Source organism: Homo sapiens, chromosome 3 (assembly GCF_000001405.40).
Source record: "Homo sapiens chromosome 3, GRCh38.p14 Primary Assembly".
In the NCBI taxonomy this organism is placed as follows: Eukaryota; Metazoa; Chordata; class Mammalia; order Primates; family Hominidae; genus Homo; species Homo sapiens.
The window spans coordinates 34,416,267-34,443,590 of record NC_000003.12 but is presented as its reverse complement, the minus strand read 5'-3'; the positions used below and the strand labels follow the sequence as shown (position 1 = coordinate 34,443,590).

The following is a 27,324-nucleotide window of genomic DNA, read 5'->3' as shown; positions in this document are numbered from 1 at the left end:
TAGCAGAATTATGGAAAAAATCATGAAATCATCTCCATAGATGCAGAAAAAGCATTTGACAAAATTCAATATCCTTTCATGATAGAAAAAAAAACTGTCAATGAACTAGGTATGCAATAAATGCACCTCATCATAATAAAGGCCATACATACAAGCTCACAGCTAACATCATACTCAATGATGAAAAGTGACAGCTTTTCCTCTAAGATGAGGAACAAGACAAGGATGCTCACTCTTGCCACTTTTATTCAACAGAATACCGAAAGTTCTAGCCAAAGCAGTTTGGCAAGAAAAAAGGCATCCAAACTGGAAATGAGTAAGTTAAATTCTCTGTTTGCCTGTAATTTTATAGAGAGAACACCCTAAGGACTCCACCAAAAATTGTTACAAATAATAAACAAATTAAATAAAGTTTCAGGGTACAAAAGCAACATGCCAAAATCAGTTGCGTTCTTATACACAATAACAAACTAACTGAAAGATAAGTTAAGAAAACAATCCCATATATAATAGCACCAAAAGAATAAAATATTTAGAAATAAGTTTAGCCAAGGAGATGAAAGATGTGTACACTGAAAACTACAAATCATCCATGAAATAAATTTAAGATGACACAAATAAAAATAAAGATATCCCATATACATGGATCACATAAGTTAATATTGTCAAATTTTCCATAATACCCGAAGTAAGCTATAGAGTCAATGCAATCTCTATCAAAATTATAATGATGTTTTCACAGAAATAGAAAAAATAATCATAAAATTTGTATGGAACTATAAAAATAAAACTAAATAGTTAAAGCTTAAAGACATTATACTTTCTGATTTTATAATATTTTACAAGTCTATTTAATCAAAACATGGTGCTTGCATTAAAACAGCCTCATAGACCTATGGAACAGAATAGAGAATCCAGAAATAAGCCTACACATATATGGTCAACTAATTTTCGACAAAAGTGCCAAGAATACACATAGTGGAAAAGATAGTCTTGTCAATACATAGTGTTAGAAATTGTCAATACATGGACAATCCATATGTCTACATGCAAAAGAATGAAATTAGGCTCTTATCTCGCACCATACACAAAATCAACTTAAAATGAATTAAACAATTAATGCATTTAATTAAACCTAGAGTCATAAAATCCATCGAAGAAAACTTATGGGAAAATACCTTGTTGGTGGCCTTGGCAATAAATTTTTGGATAGGATACCTACCAAAAGCACAGGTAATGAAAGGAAAAATAAACAAATAAGACTACATAAAACTAAAAAGCTTCTACACATCAAAAGAAACAGTCAACAATATGAAAAGGCAACCTACGGAATGGAAGAAAATATTTGCAAGCCATGCATCCAATAAGAGGTTAATAACCAAAATATATAAAGAACGTATACAATTCAATATCAAAAATCAAACAACATTAAAAAACTAAGCAAAGGATGTAAGCAGAAAATTTTCCAAAGAATGCATACAATGGCCAAAAGATATATGAAAAGCTTCTCAACATCACTAATCATCAGGGAAATGCAAATCAAAACCATAATGAAATATCACCTGAAACATGTTCGGATGAGTATGATTTTAAAAAACATGAAATATAACAAGGGCTGGTGAGGATGTGGAAAAAAAGAGAACACTTGTACACTGTTGGTAAGAATGCAAATTGACAGAGTCATGTGGAAAACATATGGAGAGACCCAAAAACTTAAAATATAACTACTATAGAATCCAGCAATCACGCTTCCGGATATATATCCATTGGAAATGAAATCAGTATCTTGAAATGATATCTGTACTGTCATGTTCATTGCAGCATTATTTACAGTAGCCAAGGTATGGAAATAATCTAAGTGTCTGTCAATGTATAAATGAATAAAGAAAATATGAGCGAGAGAGAGATCGATGATTCTCAAGAATATAAGAATCAAACAGTTTTGATAGTTTATACACATACACACACACACTCAGAGACAGAGAGAAAGAATAGAATATTCCATTTTGTATCTCTGCAGAAACTTTCTGTAGAGATACAAAATTGAGTAATAAAATAAAGAAATCCTGCCATTTGCAACAACTTGGATAAATTTGAGGGACATTATGTTAAGTTAAATAAGCAGACACAGAAAGACAAATACTGTATGATCTTTCTTATACGTGGAATCTAAATAGTCAAACTCATAAAAGCAGAGAGCAGAATGGTGGTTGCTAGGGGATTGGAGGGGCATAATAGAAAGATGGTGGTCAAAGGAAAACAAACCTCCTTTAAGATAAGTTCTGGGGACCTAATATATGTTGAAAATATTGTATTGTACACTTGAAATTTGAAGAGAATAAATCGTCCTCACCGCAAAAACGTGGTAATGATTCAAGGTGATGCATGTGTTAATAGCTTGATTGTGTCAATTGTTTAACAATGTTTACATATATCAAACTGTTACACTGTTTGTTTCAAATATATACAAGTTTTATTTATCAAATATAACCCAATAAAGGTAAAAAAAAAAAGAACTGCAAAAGTCTAATTTCTGTAATTCTATCATTCTTTCTGCAAGTCCTAGTAGTAATAATTCTCTAAGGAAGTCTTCCTCATAAACTGTGTCATGGAATCTGAAATACAGTTCATATAGAAGAGTCTGGATGAATGCTTATTTTGCCTTAATAATAAAATCCAAAAGTAATCAGTTTGTGCTTTAGTAAACTCTTATGATGACCGATGAGTTTTTTTTAAATTAGTCTTTGATTTTTTACTATAATTAGAAACTAAGATTTTTATATATTTTATGTGCTTCATTCCATTGCAATCATTATTCATTTTGAAGATCAAATTGTTGCATCTTGGGCCAGTAGGAGCTCCCTTAAGTTGGCACCTATTTTGTTTTAAATGATCTTACTTGTCTTTGTTAGTTTTTAGTTTTCTACTACAGTAAAATGCAAAGACTCGCCTTGCATATTTTCTTTCCAAAACCTGGAATCAATCATATCTGGAGAGTGCTGCTTCCGTTATGCTTAGACGCCACAATCTGCACCTTAGGGGCGCTCATTACTACTTGGTTGTCATTGATTCTAGGCCATTATAAAAGCCTAGACAGATTAGTGGACAGGTTAAGAATGAGATAAGATGAAACAATCAGCATATCATGAGATAGTTCTGCTTCAAATTTTATATCATAGAGTTTTTATTTCATTTATGTTTACTTGTATCTCTTTTCTCTTAGGCCAAAAAATCTTGATTAATTACATCGGCACAATTACTTATTACCATGACAGCAGAAGGATCCATGGGCTTGCCCCTTTACCAAGTCAGTCAGGCTAAGGAGAAACCTGTTCTGACCTGAATTTCTTGGGAATGTGCCTGTGAATGTGATTTAATAGAGGAGAAACTTTGAAATTAGTGTGTAACATAAAAGAAGTGAGATGAATATCCATCAAAGATTTTCTCCACCAAATGGCAACTCTGTTAGCCTCATGCATGAAAATGAGATATCCCACCCAGAATATGTCTCTGAAACCCAGGAAAGGTGACTAAAAGGGCTATGCCTTTGGGATTTCATGTAAGACCTGCGTGTGGTTCTCTCTGGACCAAGTCCAATGCTCAGAGCAGGGTACGATTCTGCATCCAAGAGGCCTGCTGCTTTTGACTTCCCTCAACTTGTCTAGGGTACTAGCACTTGCCAAGCAGTTTATATCTAAATGCCATACCCACAGTTAGATTCAACACTACCCTGGACCACTACCATTCCAAGGCACTAGTAATCTCACAGAGATATGTAAAAAAAAAGACAGGGCTTTTGAATGGGGATAGGTAAAACATCCTGCTAGCCTGGTCATTTAGATATTTGAGTACTAGATCTGGGGACTCTACTGGGAGGAAAGTACTCTGGTTTTGACACAAACTCTAACCTTAACACAAAATGAGTTTCCTATTTTCTTATTCCCACATGGGCAACCTAATGGCTTCTTTCCATAGATTTGCATCACCCTTTCAATGAGCTGAATTAACAGTAATATACACAATAATCATGGAAGAAGAAAAAAGAAATTAAAATCAAAAGTCAAGTTTGATCATATCCCTTTCCCATCTAATTGTCCTATGACCCTGGGTGTGCCTCGCAAACTCTTTAAAATACTATTGCCTCAACCTTCATCATATGGAATATGTCACTTCAAACGTTTGCTTTAATGATTAATGAGATAATGTGTATGAAATACCTGCACATACTGAGTAATCAATAAATTTTCACTGAATCATGATCTTCCCTCTACATCTGTTTGTGGCTTCTCAAAGAAATATTTTGTTTGGCAATTTTAAAAAAATCTATATCTAGGGCAGATTATTCTCTGAGGGCAAGTGTTTGCAAACATTATATTTCTCTTCCAACATTTCTTTCCCATGAAGAAAATACCTATGTTTTTCCAGTGGCTAGGTTAAACTGCATCACAGGGTCTTTCTCATACCTCTGACATAAACCCTTGCATTATAAATATTTTGTAGGAATATAAGAATCGAACAGTTTTGATGGCTTCATTTACAATTTAAGTAGCTATATCATATTCCCTAGGAACTAAGATGCCACAATGTGTACCATATTTGTTATTTGAAACAAAGCTAAAGACTTAGTCAATAGCTTTCGAATAGGCCCAATTTATAATGTAAATGATGCATGCAGATGCTGTAAAAAGTAATAATAATTTAAAACCCCTATATCCTGTCGTATATTTTGATAGCAGCTACAAGGAAACTGCTAGCATAATTCTCTTGATGGCTTTCTGTGAATGTATTGAACCAATCCATTAAGCCTCGATAATAAGCCAATTAATTGTTTAGAAACATTACCCCAGCTCTTGTGTGTGGTTTTCCTCACACAGAGACAGGTGCCTATTTATCTCACAGGAGAAATGACCAAGTTAGATATCAATACTCTCCATGAGCGAGTTCTCTAAAATGGATTTGCTATCGATCTGTCCATTCGCTATTGTTAGCAAACTTGCTCTACACCATGAGGCCTCTGAATTTTTTACCCCTACTTAGTACCATGAATCATTCTTCTTCTAACCAACCAAAATAAAATTAGAGTTTGCATGTTTATATATAGGGTTTTTTCCTACAAGTGCAATATTGATTTTCCTCAAAAAGTATACTTTTCTTATGGTTTAATTACATATAGATTTTTGAGGATTTACACGTGCTATATAAACTAATGTCATTTCTCAATAAAGTTTAATTTGACTGCAAAATAATGAAGGGAGGAATTGTATCCTTCCTCTCATTTTACAGGTAATAAGACTGAGGCTCAGAGAGACCAAATGATTTGCAGTAAGACAGACCTGTGTGAAACTCTGGCTCTGACACCTGCCATTAGCCAAACTTGCTCTTCTTAAATCACAGTTTACTCACTTCAAAATGGGAACAACTCTAGTGTTCACCTCTGCTAGTTGTTATACAAATTAAGTGGTTTATATAAAGCTCTCAGCATATAATAAGGACTCAGTGTTACTACTGTGAGGCACAGATCTGTAATTACTTCCCTACCTTGGTTCTTACACGTAGCACATTGAATCTCATGCAATGTCTGTTTGGTTTTTGGAAATCAAAAATCATACAGGTATAAGATTTAACATCACTGGGGAGGCATGACCCCAGTCCAAAATCTGTGGCTCACATTGCCAAGCTGCAAAAGGCAAAAGCTAAAGAAATTCCACTAAACTTGGTTAAATGTATACTGTTGAGGTTTCTGTATATAAAAATAATAAAAATTCTTTTTCAAAATATGTCATCAGATATCAGCATTTCTATATGGTTCAACCTAAATTCTTTTTTTGCTCATTGAGAAATAGACTGAGATTTTGAGGGCAAGTATTGTATCTTCTTCATCTCTTTACAATCCAAGAGCCTGGAACACACTAAGCGCTCAATGAAATGTAAATAATATATTATAAAACATGCATAATATAGCACTTTCATTCATCTCCAAATCCCTGATTGTACCAGCTCATCACAGACTTTTTTTTTTTTTTTTTTTGGTATATCCTATTTCCAGGAGAAAAAAAGTGTTGCATATGTTGGTTGTGGTTAGACTTTTTAACGTAAAAGTCATAAAATACATAAAGCATGTATTTTATGTGCAGGCTATTCATGCTCAGCTGAAAAGAAAGCAAGGAAAGGATGCCTGAGTTGTGAAAGACTTTGCACAGTTCTCAGAGATCCTCACACTACCAAGCTCGAGAACACACGACTATTCACACAAGCTCCAGAACTCAGCACTCTGGGCTTCTTTGTGTCAAGAAGAGACTGTGCAGTAGCAGATCGAAATTATCAGTGACTCATAAAGTCAGGTTCCATCATGGCCATCCCTGCTGCTCTTACAAAGAGGGAGTCTTGTCATGGGACCAGAACTCCAATCACAGGCACAAACTTAAAGCTGCCCCAGTGACATTAAAAATCAACTGAGGCCAGGCGCAATGGTTCACGCCTGTAATCACAGCACTTTGGGAGGCTAAGGCAGGTGGATCACGAGGTCAGGAGTTCGAGACCAGCCTGGCCAATATGGTGAAACCCCATCTCTACTAAAAATACAAAAATTAGCCAGCTGTGGTGGTGGACACCTGTAATCCCAACAACTCAGGAGGCTGAGGCAGGAGAATCACTTGAACCTGGGAGATGGAGGTTGCAGTGAGCCAAGATCATGCCACTGCACTCCAGTCCAGGAGACAGAGCGAGATTCTGTCTCAAAAAAAAATCAACTGAAGAAATAGAGTTGCATTTACCCTCCTCATTTCATGGACAGTCCACAGCCCTGAGCTCTTATTACAAAGTCACCCTTTTATACCTGTAAAAAATAGTATAATTTCTACATTTCAGAATTGTGAAAATTAAATGAGATATGCCAAAAAGCATGGACAAAAATTGAATCAGTGTGTGAACCAGAGGCCAATGTCAAGGAAAGATGTTTCCTCCTACTTCAGAGCAAGAGTGGGACAGAAATATAGAGGACTATGAATGTTCTGGAAGTCTCTAGACTCAAGACTTCCCTCCCATACTACCTCTCATACCCACTACCAAATGTAACTCAACCAGAAATTCGATGTGGCAAAGATTTGGCGTTTGATCTTAAAAAGTAGACGTGAGGCTGGGCGCGGTGGCTCAGGCCTGTAATCCCAGCACTTTCAGAGGCCAAGGTGGGTGGATCAACTGAGGTCAGGAGTTCATGACCAGCCTGGCCAACATAGTAAAACCCCGTCTCTACTAAAAATACAAAAATTAGCCAGGCATGGTGGTGTGTACCTGTAATCCCAGCTACTCGGGAGTCTGAGGTGGGAGAATTGCTTGAACCTGGGAGGCAGAGGTTGCAGTGAGCCCAGATTGTGCCACTGCACTCCAGCCTGGGTGACAGAGTGAGACTCCATCTCAAAAAAAAAAAAAAAAAAAAAAAGAAAAGAAAAAAAAGAAAGAAAAAGAAAAGTAGATGTGAGAAAATATTAAGACTCATTGACTTTAAAGAGTCATTTTATTATAATTCGCAGGCCAGACAGAATTTTCACTGTCTCTAGGTATCCCCAGCACATAGACATTCTTCTGTTACAGAACATACCATACCCATGTTTAAATACTTCTATTTATCACTTACTGAAATCCAACTTTGGGCTACATTCTTTGGATGTCACATTACATTTAAGTTTCACAACAATTCAATTAGATATCTTTACTTTCATGTTAAAACAGATCAGGAGTTTTGAGAGTTCTTAGAGTTTTCATAACTTGACCCAAGTTCACACAGTTAACATACAACAGAGCTAGAAGGTGAGCCTATGAATGTTCATCACCATAGTCATGCCTTTGCCACCATGGCAGAAAAAAATATCTTATTTACAGGCTACTTTTTGAAAACAGGTCTGTGTCTTATTTGCTATTGTGGCCTCATTGCCTAGGTACTTAAATTCATTAAATACTGAATTAATTAGCAATCAACTACTAATTTCCTTGATTCGAAAGTACCTACAAGGCTCACAGGAATAATCACTCTTACCCTAGGACTGCCTCTAAGGAGAAGACTCATAAAGTTAGGTCTTATTAGGGACAGGGTTAAGCAAGAACCTCCAGGATATGGGGTCTCCTCTTCGTTTTTTACCAAAAGATGAATCCAGTCACGGACTAGCTTCCATTTGACTTCATGCTTTCCTGAACAAATTCCAGTCAACTGAGTTCAGTACAATAGGAAGACTTAGCTTCTGTGCCCTGGGGTTGTAGTAACGTGGTCTTGGATAAGTGATTTTTGTCCAATATGCGCCTCAGCTGCATCAAACGAAAAATGAATTGATGAAACACACTCTGATCTCTGGAAACAGGTGCTTATCTTACCTACTAGACTGTGCAGCCATGAGGCAGTGCCACACAGCAGTCAGGGTTTAGGCACTGGAGCCAGGCCATCTGGCTTTAGAACCCAGCACCAGGTGTAACTAACCATGTGATCTTTGTAGATCACTACCTCTCCCATTATGATCACTATTTGCCTCTCATTTCTCAAAGCTGTATTTTGTACATTCATAAAGAAAACAATGTCATTAAGCATCATGAGATATTAGAAAAGATTTCTAGAAATATGAATAAAAACTCGTGGTAAAAAGGGATGTTTGTTTGTGTATCCCCCTTCCTTTATCCTTTGTCTTGGTATCCTTCATTTGGTGGTAATGGGGTAAGAAGAGCCATCCTGCCCTGTGTATTTAAATTATGAGAGATATTTTCCACATGAATTCAAGTTTTAGCTCTATGCACTTCTTAACACTGTGTATTTCTTAACAGAGCATAAAAAAATGGTGTTCTCCATGTGCCATATTTTATCTGGTTTTCATGAAATGTCATACCTTTTAATGGGTAATAATTGGTTAAGAAGCTTATTGTAGTTCAACAGAGAATATTAAAGTTTATTTAGTGAGTGTATTTATTTAGGATAAAATCACTATTTGAAAGTTTTTAACCAAATTAGACATCTATACTTATTCATTCTTAACATGCAAATTTTATGAATAATTAAATGGAAAAACACTCCTTTTGATTAAACTGAAAACAACAGAACAAAAAGTAAAAGAAATTGAGCACAGTAGGTATTGATAGTCTACCAGTTAAGCAGGATTATCTAATGACAAGCTTGTTTTTCATAAACTTGCAGAAAATTTGAATTCTACCCATGGTGAGAGACCATTTTTCTCCATCATATTTCATATTAGTTTATTATTGCTGCTGTAACAAATTGTCACAAATTTAATGGCTTAAAGCAACACAAGTTTATTATTTTACAGTTTTGTAGATCAGAAACCTGACACTGGTCTCATGGGGCTAAGGTCAATGTGTCAGCAGGGCTGTGTTCCCTTATGAAAGTTCTAGAATCCATTTTCCTTTTAATACTTTAACTTTTATATTAGGTTCAGAGGTACATGTGTAGGTTTGTTATATAGGTAAACTTATGACTCAGTGGTTTGATGTACAGATTATTTTATCACCCAGGTACTAAGCATAGTTCCTGACAGTTTTTTCTTTTTTCTCCTGAACCTCTCCCTCCTCCAAACTTCTTCCCTCAAGTAGGCCCCAGTGTCTGTTGTTTCCCTCTATGTGCCCATGTGTTCTCATCATTTAGCACTCACTTATAAGTAAGAACATGCAGTATTTTTTGTTCCTACATTCATTTGTTAAAATTAATGCCTTGGGGGAGGAGCCAAGATGGCCAAACAGGAACAGCTCCAGTCTATAGCTCCCAGCATGAACGACGCAGAAGACGGATGATTTCTGCATTTCCAACTGAGGTACTGGGTTCATCTCACTGGGGAGTGTCGGACAGTACGTGCAGGACAGTGGGTGCAGTGCACCAAGCATGAGCAGAAGCAGGGCGAGGCATCGCCTCACCCAGGAAGTGCAAGGGGTCAGGGAATTCCCTTTCCTAGTCAAAGAAAGGGGTGACAGACGTCACCTGGAAAATCGGGTCACTACCACCCTAATGCTGCGCTTTTCCAATGGTCTTAGCAAACGGCACACCAGGAGATTATATCCCATGCATGGCTTGGAGGGTCCTATGCCCACGGAGCCTCACTCATTGCTAGCACAGCAGTCTGAGATCAAACTGCAAGGTGGCAGCAAGGCTGGGGGAGGGGCGCCCACCATTGCCGAGGCTTGAGTAGGAAAACAAAGCGGCCAGGAAGCTCGAGGTCAGTGGAGCCCACCGCAGTTCAAGGAGGCCTGCCTGCCTCTGTAGACTCCACCTCTGGGGGCAGGGCATAGCCAAACAAAAGGCAGCAGAAACCTCTGCAGACTTAAATGTCCCTGTCTGACAGCTTTGAAGAGAGTAGTGGTTCTCCCATCACGCAGCTGGAGATCTGAGAACAGACAGACTGCCTCCTCAAGTGGGTCCCTGACTCCCGAGTGGCCTAACTGGGAGGCACCCCCAAGTAGGGGCAGACTGACACCTCACACGGCTGGGTACTCCTCTGAGACAAAACTTCCAAAGGAACGATCAGGCAGCAACATTTGCTGTTCACCAATATCTGCTGTTCTGCAGCTTCCAATGCTGATACCCAGGCAAACAGGGTCTGGAGTGGACCTCCAGCAAACTCCAACAGACCTGCAGCTGAGGGTCCTGACTGTTAGAAGGAAAACTAACAAACAGAAAGGACACCCACACCAAAACGCCATCTGTATGTCACCATCATCAAAGACCAAAGATAGATAAAACCACAAAGATGGGGAAAAAACAGAGCAGAAAAACTGGAAACTCTAAAAAGCAGAGCGCCTCTCCTCCTCCAAAGGAGCGCAGCTCCTCACCAGCAACAGAACAAAGCTGGACGGAGAATGACTTTGATGAGTTGAGAAAAGAAGACTTCAGATGATCAGACTACTCTGAGCTAAAGGAGGAAGTTTGAACCCATGGCAAGAAGTTAAAAACCTTGAAAAAAAATTAGATGAATGGCTAACTAGAATAACCAATGCAGAGAAGTCCTTAAAGGGCCTGATGGAGCTGAAAACCATGGCACAAGAACTACATGATGAATGCACAAGCCTCAGTAGCCAATTTGATCAACTGGAAGAAAGGTTATCAGTGATGGAAGATCAAATCAATGAAATGAAGTGAGAAGAGAAGTTTAGAGAAAAAAGAATAAAAACAAATGAACAAAGCCTCCAAGAAATATGGGAATATGTGAAAAGACCAAATCTACATCTGATTGGTACACCTGAAAGTGACGAGGAAAATGGAACCAAGTTGGAAAACACTCTGCAGGATATTATCCAGGAGAACTTCCCCAATCTAGCAAGGCAGGCCAACATTCAAATTCAGGAAATACAGAGAATGCCACGAAGATAATCCTCGAGAAGAGCAACTCCAAGACACATGATTTTCAGATTCACCAAAGTTGAAATGAAGAAAAAAATGTTAAGGGCAGCCAGAGAGAAAGGTCGGGTTACCCACAAAGGGAAGCCCATCAGACTAACAGCGGATCTCTCGGCAGAAACTCTACAAACCAGAAGAGAGTGAGGACCAATATTCAACATTCTTAAAGAAAAGAATTTTCAACCCAGAATTTCATATCCAGCCAAACTAAGCTTCATAAGTGAAGGAGAAATAAAATCCTTTACAGACAAGCAAATGCTGAGAGATTTTGTCACCACCAGGCCTGCCCTAAAAGAGCTCCTGAAGGAAGCAGCAAACATGGAAAGGAACAACCGGTACCAGCCACTGCAAAAACATGCCAAATTTTAAAGATCACCAAGGCTAGGAAGAAACTGCATCAACTAACAAGCAAAATAACCAGCTAACATCATAATGACAGGATCAAATTCACACATAACAATATTAACCTTAAATTTAATGGGCTAAATGCTCCAATTAAAAGACAGACTGGCAAATTGGATAAAGAGTCAAGACCCATCAGTGTGCTGTATTCAGCAGACCCATCTCACGTGCAGAGACACACATAGGCTCAAAACAAAGGGATGGAGGAAGATCTACCAAGCAAATGGAAAACAAAAAATGGCAGGGGTTGCAATCCTAGTCTCTGATAAAACAGACTTTAAATCAACAAAGATCAAAAGAGACAAAGAAGGCCATTACATAATGGTAAATGGGTCATTTCAACGAGAAGAGCTAACTATCCTAAATATATATGCACCCAATACAGGAGCACCCAGATTCATAAAGCAAGTCCTTAGAGACCTACAAAGAGACTTAGAGTCCCACACAATAATAATGGGAGATTTTAACACCCCACTGTCAACATTAGACAGATCAACCAGACAGAAAGTTAACAAGGATATCCAGGCATTGAACTCAGCTCTGCAACAAGCAGACCTAACAGACATCTACAGAATGCTCCACCCCAAATCAACAGAGTATACATTCTTCTCAGCACCACACCACACCTATTCCAAAATTGACCACATAGTTGGAAGTAAAGCACTCCTCAGCAAATGTAAAAGAACAGAAATTATAACAAACTGTCTCTCAGACCACAATGCAATCAAACTAGAACTCAGGATTAAGAAACACTCAGAACCACTCAACTACATGGAAACTGAACAACCTGCTCCTGAATGACTACTGGGTACATAACAAAATGAAGGCCGAAATAAAGATATTCTTTGAAACCAAAGAGAACAAAGACACAACATACCAGAATCTCTGGGACACATTTAAAGCAGTGTGTAGAGGGAAATTTATAGCACTAAATGCCCACAAGAGAAAGCAGGAAAGATCTAAAATTGACACACTAACATCACAATTAAAAGAACTAGAGAAGCAAGAGCAAACACATTCAAAAGCTAGTAGAAGGCAGAAATAACTAAGATCAGAGCAGAACTGAAGGAAATAGAGACACAAAAAAACCCTTCAAAAAATCAATGAATCCAGGAGCTGGTTTTTTGAAAACATCAACAAAACTGATAGACCACTAGCAAGACTAATAAAGAAGAAAAGAGAAAAGAATCAAATAGACGCAATAAAAAATGATAAAGGGGATATCAGCACTGATCCCACAGAAATACAAACTACCATCAGAGAATACTATAAACACGTCTACGCAAATAAACGAGAAAATCTAGAAGAAATGGATACATTCCTCGACACATACACCCTCCCAAGACTAAACCAGGAAGAACTTGACTCTCTGAATAGACCAATAACAGGCTCTGAAATTGAGGCAATAATTAATAGCTTACCAACCAAAAAAAGTCCAGGACCAGATGGATTCACAGCTGAATTCTACCAGAGGTACAAGGAGAAGCTGGGACCATTCCTTCTGAAACTATTCCAATCAATAGAAAAAGAGGGAATCCTCCCTAACTCATTTTATGAGGCCAGCATCATCCTGATACCAAAGCCTTGCAGAGACACAACAAAAAAAGAGAATTTTAGACCAATATCCCTGATGAAAATCGATGCAAAAATCCTCAATAAAATACTGGCAAACAAAATCCAGCAGCACATCAAAAAGCTTATCCACCATGATCAAGTGGGCTTCATCCCTGGGATGCAAGGCTGGTTCAACATACGAAAATCAATAAACATAATCCAGCATAGAAACAGAACCAACGACAAAAACCACATGATTATCTCAATAGATGCAGACAAGGCCTTTGATAAAATTCAACAACACTTCATGCTAAAAACTCTCAATAAATTAGGTATTGATGGGATGTATCTCAAAATAATAAGAGCTATCTATGACAAACCCACAGCCAATATCATACTGAATGGGCAAAAACTGGAAGCATTCCCTTTGAAAACTGACACAAGACAGGGATGCCCTCTCTCACCACTCCTATTCAACATAATGTTGGAAGTTCTGCCCAGGGCAATCAGGCAGAAGAAGGAAATAAAGGGTATTCAATTAGGAAAAGAGGAAGTCAAATTGTCCCTGTTTGCAGATGACGTGATTGTATATCTAGAAAACCCCATCGTCTCAGCCCAAAATCTGCTTAAGCTGATAAGCAACTTCAGCAAAGTCTCAGGATACAAAATCAATGTGCAAAAATCACAAGCATACTTATACACGAATAACAGACAAACAGAGAGCCAAATCATGAGTTAAATCCCATTCACAACTGCTTCAAAGAGAATAAAATACCTAGGAATCCAACTTACAAGGGATGTGAAGGACCTCTTCAAGGAGAACTACAAACCACTGCTCAATGAAATAAAAGAGGATATAAACAAATGGAAGAACATTCCATGCTCATGGGTAGGAAGAATCAGTATCGTGAAAATGGCCATATTGCCCAAGGTAATTTATAGATTCAATGCCATCCCCATCAAGCTATCAATGACTTTCTTCACAGAATTGGAAAAAACTACTTTAAAGTTCATATGGAACCAAAAAAGAGCCCGCATTGCTAAGTCAATCCTAAGCCAAAAGAACAAAGTTGGAGGCATCACACTACCTGACTTCAAACTATACTACAAGGCTACTGTAACCAAAACAGCATGGTACTGGTACCAAAACAGAGATATAGATCAATGGAACAGAACAGAGCCCTCAGAAATAACGCCGCATATCTACAACTATCTGATCTTTGGCAAACCTGACAAAAACAAGAAAAGGGGAAAGGATTCCCTATTTAATAAATGGTGCTGGGAAAACTGGCTAGCCATATGTAGAAAGCTGAAACTGGATCCCTTCCTTACACCTTATACAAAAATTAATTCAAGATGGATTAAAGACTTAAATGTTAGACCTAAAACCATAAAAACCCTAGAAGAAAACCTAGGCATTACCATTCAGGACATAGGCATGGGCAAGGACTTCATGTCTAAAACACCAAAAGCAATGGCAACAAAAGCCAAAATTGACAAATAGGATCTAATGAAACTAAAGAGCTTCTGCACAGCAAAACAAACTACCATCGGAGTGAACAGGCAACCTACTAAATGGGAGAAAATTTTTGCAATCTACTCATCTGACAAAGGGCTAATATCCAGAATCTACAATGAACTCAAACAAATTTACAAGAAAAAAACAAACAACCCCATCAACAAGTAGGTGAAGGATATGAACAGACACTTCTCAAAAGAAGACATTTATGCAGCCGAAAGACACATGAAACAATGCTCATCATCACTGGCCATCAGAGAAATGCAAATCAAAACCACAATGAGATACCGTCTCACACCAGTTAGAATGGCAATCATTAAAAAGTCAGGAAACAACAGGTGCTGGAAAGGATGTGGAGAAATAGGAACACTGTTACACTGTTAGTGGGACTGTAAACTAGTTCAACCATTGTGGAAGTCAGTGTGGTGATTCCTCAGGGATCTAGAACTAGAAATACCATTTGACCCAGCCATCCCATTACTGAGTATATACCCAAGGGATTATAAAACATGCTGCTATAAAGACACTTGCACACATATGTTTATTGCGGCACTATTCACAATAGTAAAGACTTGGAACCAACCCAAATGTCCAACAATGATAGACTGGATTAAGAAAATGTGGCACATATACACCAGGGAATACTATGCAGCCATAAAAAATGATGAGTTCTTGTCCTTTGTAGGGACATGGATGAAGCTGGAAACCATCATTCTCAGCAAACTATCGCAAGGACAAAAAACCAAACACCGCATTTCTCACTCATAGTGGGAACTGAACAATGAGATCACATGGACACAGGAAGGAGAACATCGCACACCGGAGCCTGTTGTGGGGTGGGGGGATGGGGGAGGTATAGCATTAGGAGATATACCTAATGTTAAATGACAAGTTAATGTGTGCAGCACACCAACATGGCACATGTATACATATGTAACAAACCTGCACGTTGTGCACATGTACTCTAAAACTTAAAGTTAAAAAAAAATAAAATAAAAAATAAATAAAATAAAATAAAATTAATGCCTCCAGTTCCATCCATGTTCCCACAAAGGACATGATCTCATTCTTTTTATGGCTGCATAGTATTCCATGGTGTATATGTACCACATTTTCTTTACCTAGTCTACTGCTGATGGGCATTTAGATTGATTCCATGTCTCCACTATTGTGAAGAGTACTGCAGCGAACATATGTATGCATGTGTCTTTATGGTAGAATGATTCCTATTCCTTTGGGCATATACCCAGTAGCGGGATTGCTGGGTCAAATGTTAATTCCACTTTTAGTTCTTTGAGGAATCACTACACTGCTTTCCATAATGGTTGAACTAATTAACACTCTCACCAACAGTGTGTAAGTGTTCCCTTTTCTTTGTAACCTCACCAGCATCTGTTATCTTTTGACTTTTTACTAATAGCCATTCTGACTGATGTGAGATGGTATCTTATTGTGGGTTTGATTTGCATCTCTCTAATGATCGGTGATATTGAGCATTTTTTCATATGCTTGTTGGCTGCATGTATGTCTTCTTTTGAAATGTCTGTTCATGTCCTTTGCCCACTTTTAATGGGGTTGTTTTTTGCTTGTGCATTTAAGTTCCTTGTAGATTCTGGATATTAGACCTTTGTCAAATGTATAGTTTGCAAAAATGTTCTTCAATTCTATAGGTTGTCTGTTTGTTGATTGTTTCTTTTGCTGTGCAGAAGCTGTTTAGTTTAGTTATTTTGTATTTGTCGATTTTTGCTTTTGTTGCAATTGCTTTTGGCGATTTTGTCCTGAAATCTTTGCCAGTTCCTGTGTCCAAAGTGGTATTTCCTAGGTTATATTTCAGTGTTTTTATAATTGTGGGTTTTACATTTAAGTCCTTTATCTATCTCTAGTTGATATTTAAATATGGTGTAAGGAAGGGCTCCAGTTTCAATCTTCTGCATATGGCTAGCCAGTTCTCCCAGCACCGTTTATTGAACATGGAATCCTTTTTCCACTGCTTGTTTTTGTCAGCTTTGTCAAAGGTCAGATAGTGGTAGGTGTGTGGCTTTATTTCTGGGCTCTCTATCCTGTTCCCTTGGTCTATGTGTCTGTTTTTGTACCAGTACCATGCTGTTTTGGTTACTGCAGACATTTAGTATAGTTTGAAGTTGGGCAATGTGACTCCTCTAGCTTTGTTCTATGCTTAGGATGACTTGGCTATTTGGGATCTTTTTTGGTTCCCTATACATGCATTTTAAAATAGTTTTTTTTCTAAATTTGTGGAGAATGTCATTGGTAGTTTGATAGGAATAGCATTTAATCTTTAAGTTGCTTTGGGCAGTATGGTCATTTTAATGATGCTGATTCTTCCTATCTGTGAACATGGAAGGTTCTTTCATTTGTCTGTGTCATCTCTGATGACTTTGAGTAGCGTTTTGTAATTCTCATTGTACAGCTCTTTCACCTCTCTGGTTTACTGTATTCCTAGGTATTTTATTCTTTTTGTAGCAACTGTGAATAGGATTGTGTTCCTGTAGATGCAATTTTCTTGCCTTTTTCAGCTTCTACAGGGTTCCTGTATTCCTTGGTCCTCTTGTATTTTCAGAGCCAGCACTGGTGGATTGAGTTATTTTCACATTGCCTTACTTTTACCTTTTTACCTCCCCTTTCCACTTTGAAGGATGCTAACGATTAAATTGAGTTCATTCAAATAACCCAGGACAATCTCTCCATCTCAAGGTGCTTAATTTAGTCACATCTGCACAGTCCCTGTTGCCTTATAAAGTAACACATACACAGGTTCTAGAGATCGGGATATAGACAAAGGGAGGATCCATTATTCTGGACCCCAAAGGGGGCTCCATTATTCTGCCAGCTGTACATCTACAATTTAATCACATCTGCACAGTCTCTGTTGCATTATAAAGTAACATATACTCAGGTTCTAGGGATTGAGATATAGACATCCTTTGAGGTCCATTATTCTGCCTACTACACATCTCTTTTGAAACTGTCTATAGTGGTTAAGAGCGTTTACATAAGGTTTTTACCTGTCATATGATCATAAGCTAGACACCTAACTTCTCTGGCCTCAATTTCCTCATCTTTAAAAGAATGTTAATAATTCATGTGTGCCCTGTGTAGTTTTTGAGAATAGTAAATAAGTTAATAAAGTAAATGGGACATGTTAAGTTCTACACAATAGTTAACTGTTAGGAAATATGGGTATACAGTCATGTGCTGCATAACAACATTTTGGACAATGATGGACCACGTAATACAAAAATTGTTCCATATGATTATAATACTATATTTTTCTTATACCTTTTCTATGTTTACATACACAAATACTTACCATTGTATTATAATTTTCTACAGTATTCAGTACAGTAACATATTTACAGGTCTGTGGCTTAGGAGCAATAGGCTAAAATATACAGCCTAGGCATGCAGTTAGATTGTACCATCCAGGTTTGTGTGAGTACACTCTATGATATTAGCACAGTGATGAAATCACCTGACACATTTCTCAAGATGTATCCCCATCATTAAGTGATGTATGACTGTATTGGCTAATGTAGGCTTACTTTTATAACATGCAAACTCCCAAATTTTGGTGGCTTAGTACAATATAATTACTTCTTACTATGAAAAGTTCAATAAGAGTCAGAACAGATGGGGCAGGCTTTGCACTATGTAGTTATTTTTGTTTCCACCCTTCCCTAGGGCATCTGAATCCTCTCCCTTCAGCCATAGGGAAATAAAGAGAAAAAATGAAACATCTCAAAGGAGGTTTTTCTGAGTCAGGTCTGGAAATTATTTATATCACCTTCCATTCAGCCACTGCAAAGCAGGTTGGGGAATCTTTAACTATGTTCACAAAAAGAAAAAAAAAATGGATTTGTTGAAGAGCTAGGCAGTCTCTGACACAGGGAACCAGAAGGTAAGCATAAGGAATGGAGTTCCAGGGACTCCTGGCGCCTTTTGCAAAGCAAATCAGCCATTCAAACTAAAAAACACTTTGATCAACTTATGAGAAAAAAGACTTCTGGAGGAGACAGAAGACTGGAGTGAGAGATTTGTACAGCTCAGACTACATACTTCTTTGGACAGTTGGGAGCCCAGACTGTGGATAAGAATCAACAGCTCCAGTGTAGACATAGTTCCCTGATTTCAGAATGAAGCAAAGGCCACCGTGGGGATGACCAGCAAGCCATTAAATAAGCAAACCCAAAATTAGAAAACAAATTTGGGTTGTAGATGTGCATCTAGTCATTATTGGCATATAGATGATAACTGAAGTCAAAGGAGTGCATAAATGCAGGTAGGACCAATGAAGAACCTAAGAAGAGGAAACCATAAGGAGAAGGAACCACTGGGGAGGTAGCAGGAGAAAAGGAGAGTGGAGTGTAGCAAACAACAAAGGAGAAGATAACTTGTCAGCAGTGTCAAATGCTATCAAAAAATAAAATGACACTAGCCTACTGCCTTAAAAAACTTGAAGTCAGTGGCATCTCTACCAAGAACAATCTCTGTAGAGTGTATAGTGGAAATGATGTTGCTGAACACAAATTGTAGTGTGAAAGTGAACGAGTAAGAAAGAAAAGTGAGGGAGAGGAGGTGAATACAGACAACTCTTTCAAGACGTTTTATTGTGAAAGAGAAAAGAAAGGAGATTGGTGAAATATGATGGTTAAAATTTTATTTTTTTTTAATATGGAAGAGGTTTGAGCTGTTTGCAAGCTGAGGGGAAAAAAGCAGTGCAAGAAGTGTTGCAAAACAGTGAAGACAGGGATGATGGGCAGGTAGGAGGTATGGAGTAAGCCGAGAACCCCAAAGTTTCAGCATTTGCAGTTCCATTCTTATTGAGATCTTGTGAAGGAATGAGAGGACAGAAGGGCTCACCCCTGCAGTATTTGGGGGCCTGGAGAACAATGCAAAGTGGTTCAGTCTGAAAGTCCCTTCCAAGGACATGCAGAGTTGATTTTATGTCACTGGGTACCTACCAGTAATGGTGAAAATGAGCAAATAGCCCTATTCACATTCTGCCTAAATAAAAGGCAACTTGCGTTTCCATTTAATACCCTTACACTTCTCACTGTACAACAGAGAACAGAGAAGATCCCAATACTAATTAGGAGACTCTTTCATTAATTTATACCTGCTTTTACTCAAAAATATTTAAGATAATTAATTTGTTAAAAAATTACCCAGATATTTCACTCCTTCCCTAAGATAAGCATTTAATGCCGGAGTAATTACAGCAAGCAAAGGGCATAGAGCTATTGTACCCTCAAAACCAGTAACCAGAAAGCTGTATGGAGAACACAACCAAGCTTTTCTGTGCCTGAAGCAAGAAATTAAATAAATATTATTCATATTTTAAGGGATAAGAAAAATCAGTCCTTAATTAAGCTGATGTGAGAGATTTAGTAGAAGTGTTTATGAGTATTGAAATCTAGTTCCATAATATTGATGATAGTGTTTATAAATCACAATTGGTAATAAATCAATAATTATTCTTTTTTTAAAACAGAAAAAATGAACTCTTTATGATATTACATATAGGATGGCTAAAAAGGTTCAAAAAGCCTTGCAAAGTCACCAGTGTAATTATGAACCCTAGGCACCAGACTTCAGATGGAGGCCATAAGCTCAAGTCAAGTCACAGTGCATGAGAACAAAGGTAACCTGGCTTTGCAAGTTCAAATCCTAAAAGAAAAAATTGTAGAGTTTGAAACCACTAGGTCTCATGAGCTATACTTCCTCCATACACCTTTTTCTCAGCCATCCTCCATACACCTTCTTTCAGGATTTACTTTTCTCCATATTACTAATTACAATTCAACATACTAAACGTTTTAAATGGTTTTTGCTGTTTGTCTCATGAGAATGCATGCTCCATGAGATAAGAAATTTTGCCTGGTTTGGTCAACGTGTTATTGTCAAAACCTATTAATAGTCTCCACACATGGTAAGCACTCAGTGGATACCTTTTAAGTGAAGGAATGAACAAATCAGTAGAAGCTGCTTATATTTTAATCTGTTACTATCTACCACTTCGGCTTCATTCCCAGTGCTGCCTATGCTCCCAAATGTTCTCTATTCTCGTGTGGTCCCTGCTGTTTCATGCCACCGTGTCTTTCCTACACTTTCCCCATGGATTTGGCATCTCTTTATCCATACCCCCCCCACTCTCACAACACATGCACACAACCATCCTCATCCACCCCAATACTCAATATTCAGACATCAGGTATCTTAGCTCAAATATTTTTGTCTCAGCATAGCCTTAATTCACCACCCTAGCATATTCCCTTATTCTTTCACTCAATATTTATTCATTCAACTGATACTGATTGAGGGTTTTCCATGTGCCTGGCACTGTGATGGGTGTAAGAGGAAAAGATTGCAAGCAAATGTACATATGGATCCTGTGCTCATGGACTGTACATCACCATCATTGTATCTTTCTCATTCAGCAAACTACAATACAATTATATGTTTATCTCTGTTTCCTCAACTAGACTTGAAGTCTTGCAGGCAAACATCATTTCTTACTTGTCTCCATCTCCTCAGTACCTAGCACAGTGTTTCCTGCTTGACAAATATTTAAATGAATGAAACACCTTAATAACCAATGGAAACAAAGGATACTATCTCTACTTTTCATGTTGGCGACTTACTTCTTTTCACTCCCGGCACTGAAGAATTCTGTGCTATTGCTGTGGATGTTATTTTTACTTATGGTCTTTTTATCTTTCTTCCTCTCCAGTGCCTAATAATGGATATGACTCATTCACTATCTGCTTTGTGCCAGGCACTATACTCAACACTATACAATGTATAATATCCTGTTTAATCCTCACAACAGCTCTACCAAGCAAATATAATTGTCCTTATTTTTAAAAAGGTCTTTCATTTCCTCTTTTCCAGTCCCCCTCCCTTTGTAAATGTCCTCTATGCCTTAGTTTTCCAAGGGACACACAAGCCACTCAATATTTACAAGAAAGATCCAGATCCTTTTATCTGCTTTGCCCCTCCTACTCTGTTGGTAAACTTGCCTTTGACCATAAATAGTCCAATACAGATCCTGGCGAGGTAACAGTTCTAGACTATATTGATTTCCTTGACAAGTGACAAATAGAATATCATGATGAGTTATTTCAGTAAAAACAGAAAAAGTTACAACTTAGGACAGCTGTCACTGAGCCCAGTGCTACCTAGAGATTAATACCTGGTCCTCTTTCTTAGAAAAAGCTAACAACAGTGAATTCTCCTCCTCAAGCCTGTGACTGACAGCATTTGGACATTCACATTATATGGCAGCATCTACGGTGGTCAGTACATCATAGCTTACAAACCAAAGGGGCTTAGTAATTAAGGTATGGGAATGACCTAATTATACCCTGGCATCACTTGTAACATAGTACATAAAATGAAATCCCAGTCTGATTGTGTGAGAAAATTTCAGGGTATCTTCAGGCTTTGGATTCAATAAGACATTTTTGGAATCTCAACTTCTCCATTTGCTGATTATGTGACTTTCAGAAAGTTATGTAATCTTAGTATCTTCTCTTGTATTAGGCTGTTCTTGCATTGCTATAAAGAAATACCTGAGACTGGGTGATTTATAAACAATATAGGTTTAATTGGCTCATGGTTCTTTAAGCTTTACAGAAAGCATGGTGCTGGCATGTGCTCAGCTTTTAGGGAGGCCTCTGAAGCTTACAGTTACGGTGGAAGGTGAAGGGGGGAGCAGGCATATCACATGGCAAAAGCAGGATGAATAGAAAGATTCGGGGAGGAGGAGCCGTCACACTTTACAACAACCAGATCTTGCAAGAATTCACTCACTATCATGAGGATAACACCAAGCCATGAAGGATTTGCCCCCATGACCCAAACATCTCCCACCAGGCCCCACCTCCAACATCAGGGATTACAATTCAACATGAGATTTGGTGGGGACATGTAGTCACAATGTATCATCTGCCTTACTTGTAAAATCAGAAAATACTATCGGATTACATAGGCTTTTTGGAAATATTCGATGAAATACTATTAATAGAGGAGCTAGTATTTTACAGTAGATATAAATTATCTTCCCTTCTTTTGTTCTCTTCTGTTTCTTTCACTCTACATGATGAAAATCTAGAATCTTAAACTATAAGGGAATTAAATACTATCAATGTCAAACCCGCAATTACTGCAGAAAGCATTCCATGAGAGATCATCTGGCTGCCAGGGCTCAAGTCACCCACAAGGACTGAAAACTTTGCTACTTTACAAGGCAAGTGATGTTGAATGAAGGAATGAATGAGTGAAGAAATGAACAAAAGAACGGAAACAAAACACATCCCAGTTTTTTTGTGCTTCTTTGGCTATTCCCCCATTGTCATCAGTAATTTAGACCTGTCTGTTTTAATACTAGCCTTTTCTATTATGTGCATTTGTCTCCCTCACTAAACTGAGGACACTTTCATCATAAGGTCCATTTTTCTCCAACACCTAGCAGAGTGTCTGATATAGAAGATTGACTTAATAAACATTCAGATGAAAGATGCATGAATGAGATATTTGTAGAGTTCTGTAAATCCTTCTTTATGTAATACTTCTTTATGTAAGCAAACATTTTACTAAAATGACCCACCCTTCTGCTGTTATGCCTGTATATTTTATATAAAGCTACTAGGCTGGCTGTGCTGTGATCATTCTGATAGGCACATCACATCTATTCAGCACCATGGACAAGGTTCTAGCCCACTAGAACTGGGTGGAGTATTCCTAGAAGGGGATGGACATTCTCCATGTAAGTCACAGGAATAAGTAGTTGATCATCAGTCAAGACAGTGAAATGTGGATACTAAGACAGCCTAATACAGTATAGGCCTCTGCACAGAGTAGGCACCTGATAAATGCTAATTGACGACTAAAGGAAAAGGAGAGAAATTCCATTGTCTCTGATCTAAATTATACATTCAGACTGTCCTGGTTTTTTGGGACTGATAATAAATGAATTAAAAAAAAAAACAGTTTGGAGCATAAAGTCTTAAATGAAGAGATTTTCTTCCTCTAAATCCTTCTCTAATCTTTTTTTAAGTTTTCTTTCCTTTTTAGTGATAAAATCTCAATTCCACATGGTCATTTAAAGGGCTAAGCAGAAAATATGCTCTGTACTATTTATCAAACATATATTATTGCTCCAAACACTGAGCTAGCCTCAGGGATTGGCAGTTTGAGGGAAGGAAGGTTCCTTCCTTCATGAGCTGTCAGGTTCATAGGATAGACAGATAGAAACATAACTGTATTTTGATTCTGTAAAAAATTGCCACACAATTGGTGGTTTAAAACAACAAAAATTAATCTCTTATAGTTTTGAAGGTCAGATGTCCACAATCAAGGTTTCAGCAAGGCTGCAGTCTCTACAGAGGCTCTAGGTGAGAACATATTCTGTGCTGCTTCTGGTTTCTGGTGGTCGCTGGCTTCTTTGGCCTGTGATCACATCACTCCAGTCTTTGTCTATGTATTCCCATTGCCTTCTCTGAGTCTGACTTCTCCTTTGCGTATGCGGTATAAGAACACTTATCGGAGGAGGAGCCAAGATGGCCAAATAGGAACAGCTCCGGTCTACAGCTCCCAGCGTGAGCGACGCAGAAGACGGGTGATTTCTGCATTTCCATCTGAGGTAGCGGGTTCATCTCACTAGGGAGTGCCAGACAGTGGGCGCAGGCCAGTGTGTGCGCGCACCGTGCGCGAGCCGAAGCAGGGCGAGGCATTGCCTCACCTGGGAAGCGCAAGGGTCAGGGAGTTCCCTTTCCGAGTCAAAGAAAGGGGTGACGGACGCACCTGGAAAATCGGGTCACTCCCACCCGAATATTGCGCTTTTCAGACCGGCTTAAAAAACGGCGCACCACGAGACTATGTCCCACAGCTGGCTCAGAGGGTCCTACGCCCACGGAATCTCGCTGATTGCTAGCACAGCAGTCTGAGATCAAACTGCAAGGCGGCAACGAGGCTGGGGGAGGGGCACCCGCCATTGCGCGGGCTTGCTTAGGTAAACAAAGCAGCCGGGAAGCTCGAACTGGGTGGAGCCCACCACAGCTCAAGGAGGCCTGCCTGCCTCTGTAGGCTCCACCTCTGGGGGCAGGGCACAGACAAACAAAAAGACAGCAGTAAACTCTGCAGACTTAAGTGTCCCTGTCTGACAGCTTTGAAGAGAGCAGTGGTTCTCCCAGCACGCAGCTGGAGATCTGAGAACGGGCAGACTGCCTCCTCAATTGGGTCCCTGACCCCTGACCCCGAGCAGCCTAACTGGGAGGCACCCCCCAGCAGGGGCACACTGACACCTCACACGGCAGGGTATTCCAACAGACCTGCAGCTGAGGGTCCTGTCTGTTAGAAGGAAAACTAACAACCAGAAAGGACATCTACACCGAAAACCCATCTGTACATCACCATCATCAAAGACCAAAAGTAGATAAAACCACAAAGATGGGGAAAAAACAGAACAGAAAAACTGGAAACTCTAAAACGCAGAGCGCCTCTCCTCCTCCAAAGGAACGCAGTTCCTCACCAGCAATGGAACAAAGCTGGATGGAGAATGATTTTGACGAGCTGAGAGAAGAAGGCTTCAGACAATCAAATTACTCTGAGCTACGGGAGGACATTCAAACCAAAGGCAAAGAAGTTGAAAACTTTGAAAAAAATTTAGAAGAATGTATAACTAGAATAACCAATACAGAGAAGTGCTTAAAGGAGCTGATGGAGCTGAAAACCAAGGCTCGAGAACTACGTGAAGAATGCAGAAGCCTCAGGAGCCGATGCGATCAACTGGAAGAAAGGGTATCAGCAATGGAAGATGAAATAAATGAAATGAAACGAGAAGGGAAGTTTAGAGAAAAAAGAATAAAAAGAAATGAACAAAGCCTCCAAGAAATATGGGACTATGTGAAAAGACCAAATCTACGTCTGATTGGTGTACCTGAAAGTGATGTGGAGAATGGAACCAAGTTGGAAAACACTCTGCAGGATATTATCCAGGAGAACTTCCCCAATCTAGCAAGGCAGGCCAACGTTCAGATTCAGGAAATACAGAGAACGCCACAAAGATACTCCTCGAGAAGAGCAACTCCAAGACACATAATTGTCAGATTCACCAAAGTTGAAATGAAGGAAAAAATGTTAAGGGCAGCCAGAGAGAAAGGTCGGGTTACCCTCAAAGGAAAGCCCATCAGACTAACAGCGGATCTCTCGGCAGAAACCCTACAAGCCAGAAGAGAGTGGGGGCCAATATTCAACATTCTTAAAGAAAAGAATTTTCAACCCAGAATTTCATATCCAGCCAAACTAAGCTTCATAAGTGAAGGAGAAATAAAATACTTTATAGACAAGGAAATGCTGAGAGATTTTGTCAACACCAGGCTTGCCCTAAAAGAGCTCCTGAAGGAAGCGCTAAACATGGAAAGGAACAACCGGTACCAGCCGCTGTAAAATCATGCCAAAATGTAAAGACCATCGAGACTAGGAAGAAACTGCATAAACTAACGAGCAAAATCACCAGCTAACATCATAATGACAGGATCAAATTCACACATAACAATATTAACTTTAAATATAAATGGACTAAATTCTGCAATTAAAAGACACAGACTGGCAAGTTGGATAAAGAGTCAAGACCCATCAGTGTGCTGTATTCAGGAAACCCATCTCACGTGCAGAGACACACATAGGCTCAAAATAAAAGGATGGAGAAAGATCTACCAAGCCAATGGAAAACAAAAAAAGGCAGGGGTTGCAATCCTAGTCTCTGATAAAACAGACTTTAAACCAACAAAGATCAAAAGAGACAAAGAAGGCCATTACATAATGGTAAAGGGATCAATTCAACAAGAGGAGCTAACTATCCTAAATATTTATGCACCCAATACAGGAGCACCCAGATTCATAAAGCAAGTCCCGAGTGACCTACAAAGAGACTTAGACTCCCACACATTAATAATGGGAGACTTTAACACCCCACTGTCAACATTAGACAGATCAATGAGACAGAAAGTCAACAAGGATACCCAGGAATTGAACTCAGCTCTGCACCAAGCAGACCTAATAGACATCTACAGAACTCTCCACCCCAAATCAACAGAATATACATTTTTTTCAGCACCACACCACACCTATTCCAAGATTGACCACATAGTTGGAAGTAAAGCTCTCCTCAGCAAATGTAAAAGAACAGAAATTATAACAAACTATCTCTCAGACCACAGTGCAATCAAACTAGAACTCAGGATTAAGAATCTCACTCAAAGCCACTCAACTACATGGAAACTGAACAACCTGCTCCTGAATGACTACTGGGTAAATAACGAAATGAAGGCAGAAATAAAGATGTTCTTTGAAACCAACGAGAACAAAGACACCACATACCAGAATCTCTGGGACGCATTCAAAGCAGTGTGTAGAGGGAAATTTATAGCGCTAAATGCCTACAAGAGAA

At 38.7% G+C, this 27,324-nt stretch overlaps 1 long non-coding RNA gene across 11 annotated transcripts in view, besides 2 other annotated features; it reads right to left on the bottom strand.

The window, feature by feature from the left end:
* Positions 1–7,494: 7,494 nt before the first annotated feature.
* LINC01811 (long intergenic non-protein coding RNA 1811) overlaps positions 7,495–27,324 on the bottom strand; it is a 276,733-nt gene continuing 256,903 nt past the window's right edge. For all 11 annotated transcript variants that reach the window (NR_183677.1, NR_183681.1, NR_183678.1 and 8 more), the window contains one exon: positions 7,495–8,298. This is a non-coding gene — a long non-coding RNA (long intergenic non-protein coding RNA 1811). The remainder of the gene's footprint in view (positions 8,299–27,324) is intronic.
* Positions 23,467–23,667: a silencer, noted in NCBI's record as "peak4607 fragment used in MPRA reporter construct". NCBI's record gives its function as "represses an SCP1 promoter by STARR-seq MPRAs in K562 erythroleukemia cells {active_cell/tissue: K562}" and the evidence as "EXISTENCE:reporter gene assay evidence [ECO:0000049][PMID:32103011]".
* Positions 24,701–25,284: an enhancer, noted in NCBI's record as "H3K27ac-H3K4me1 hESC enhancer chr3:34459799-34460382 (GRCh37/hg19 assembly coordinates)". NCBI's record gives its function as "activates a minimal SCP1, AML or CMV promoter by ChIP-STARR-seq in naive and primed H9 embryonic stem cells {active_cell/tissue: H9 hESC(naive and primed)}" and the evidence as "EXISTENCE:reporter gene assay evidence [ECO:0000049][PMID:30033119]".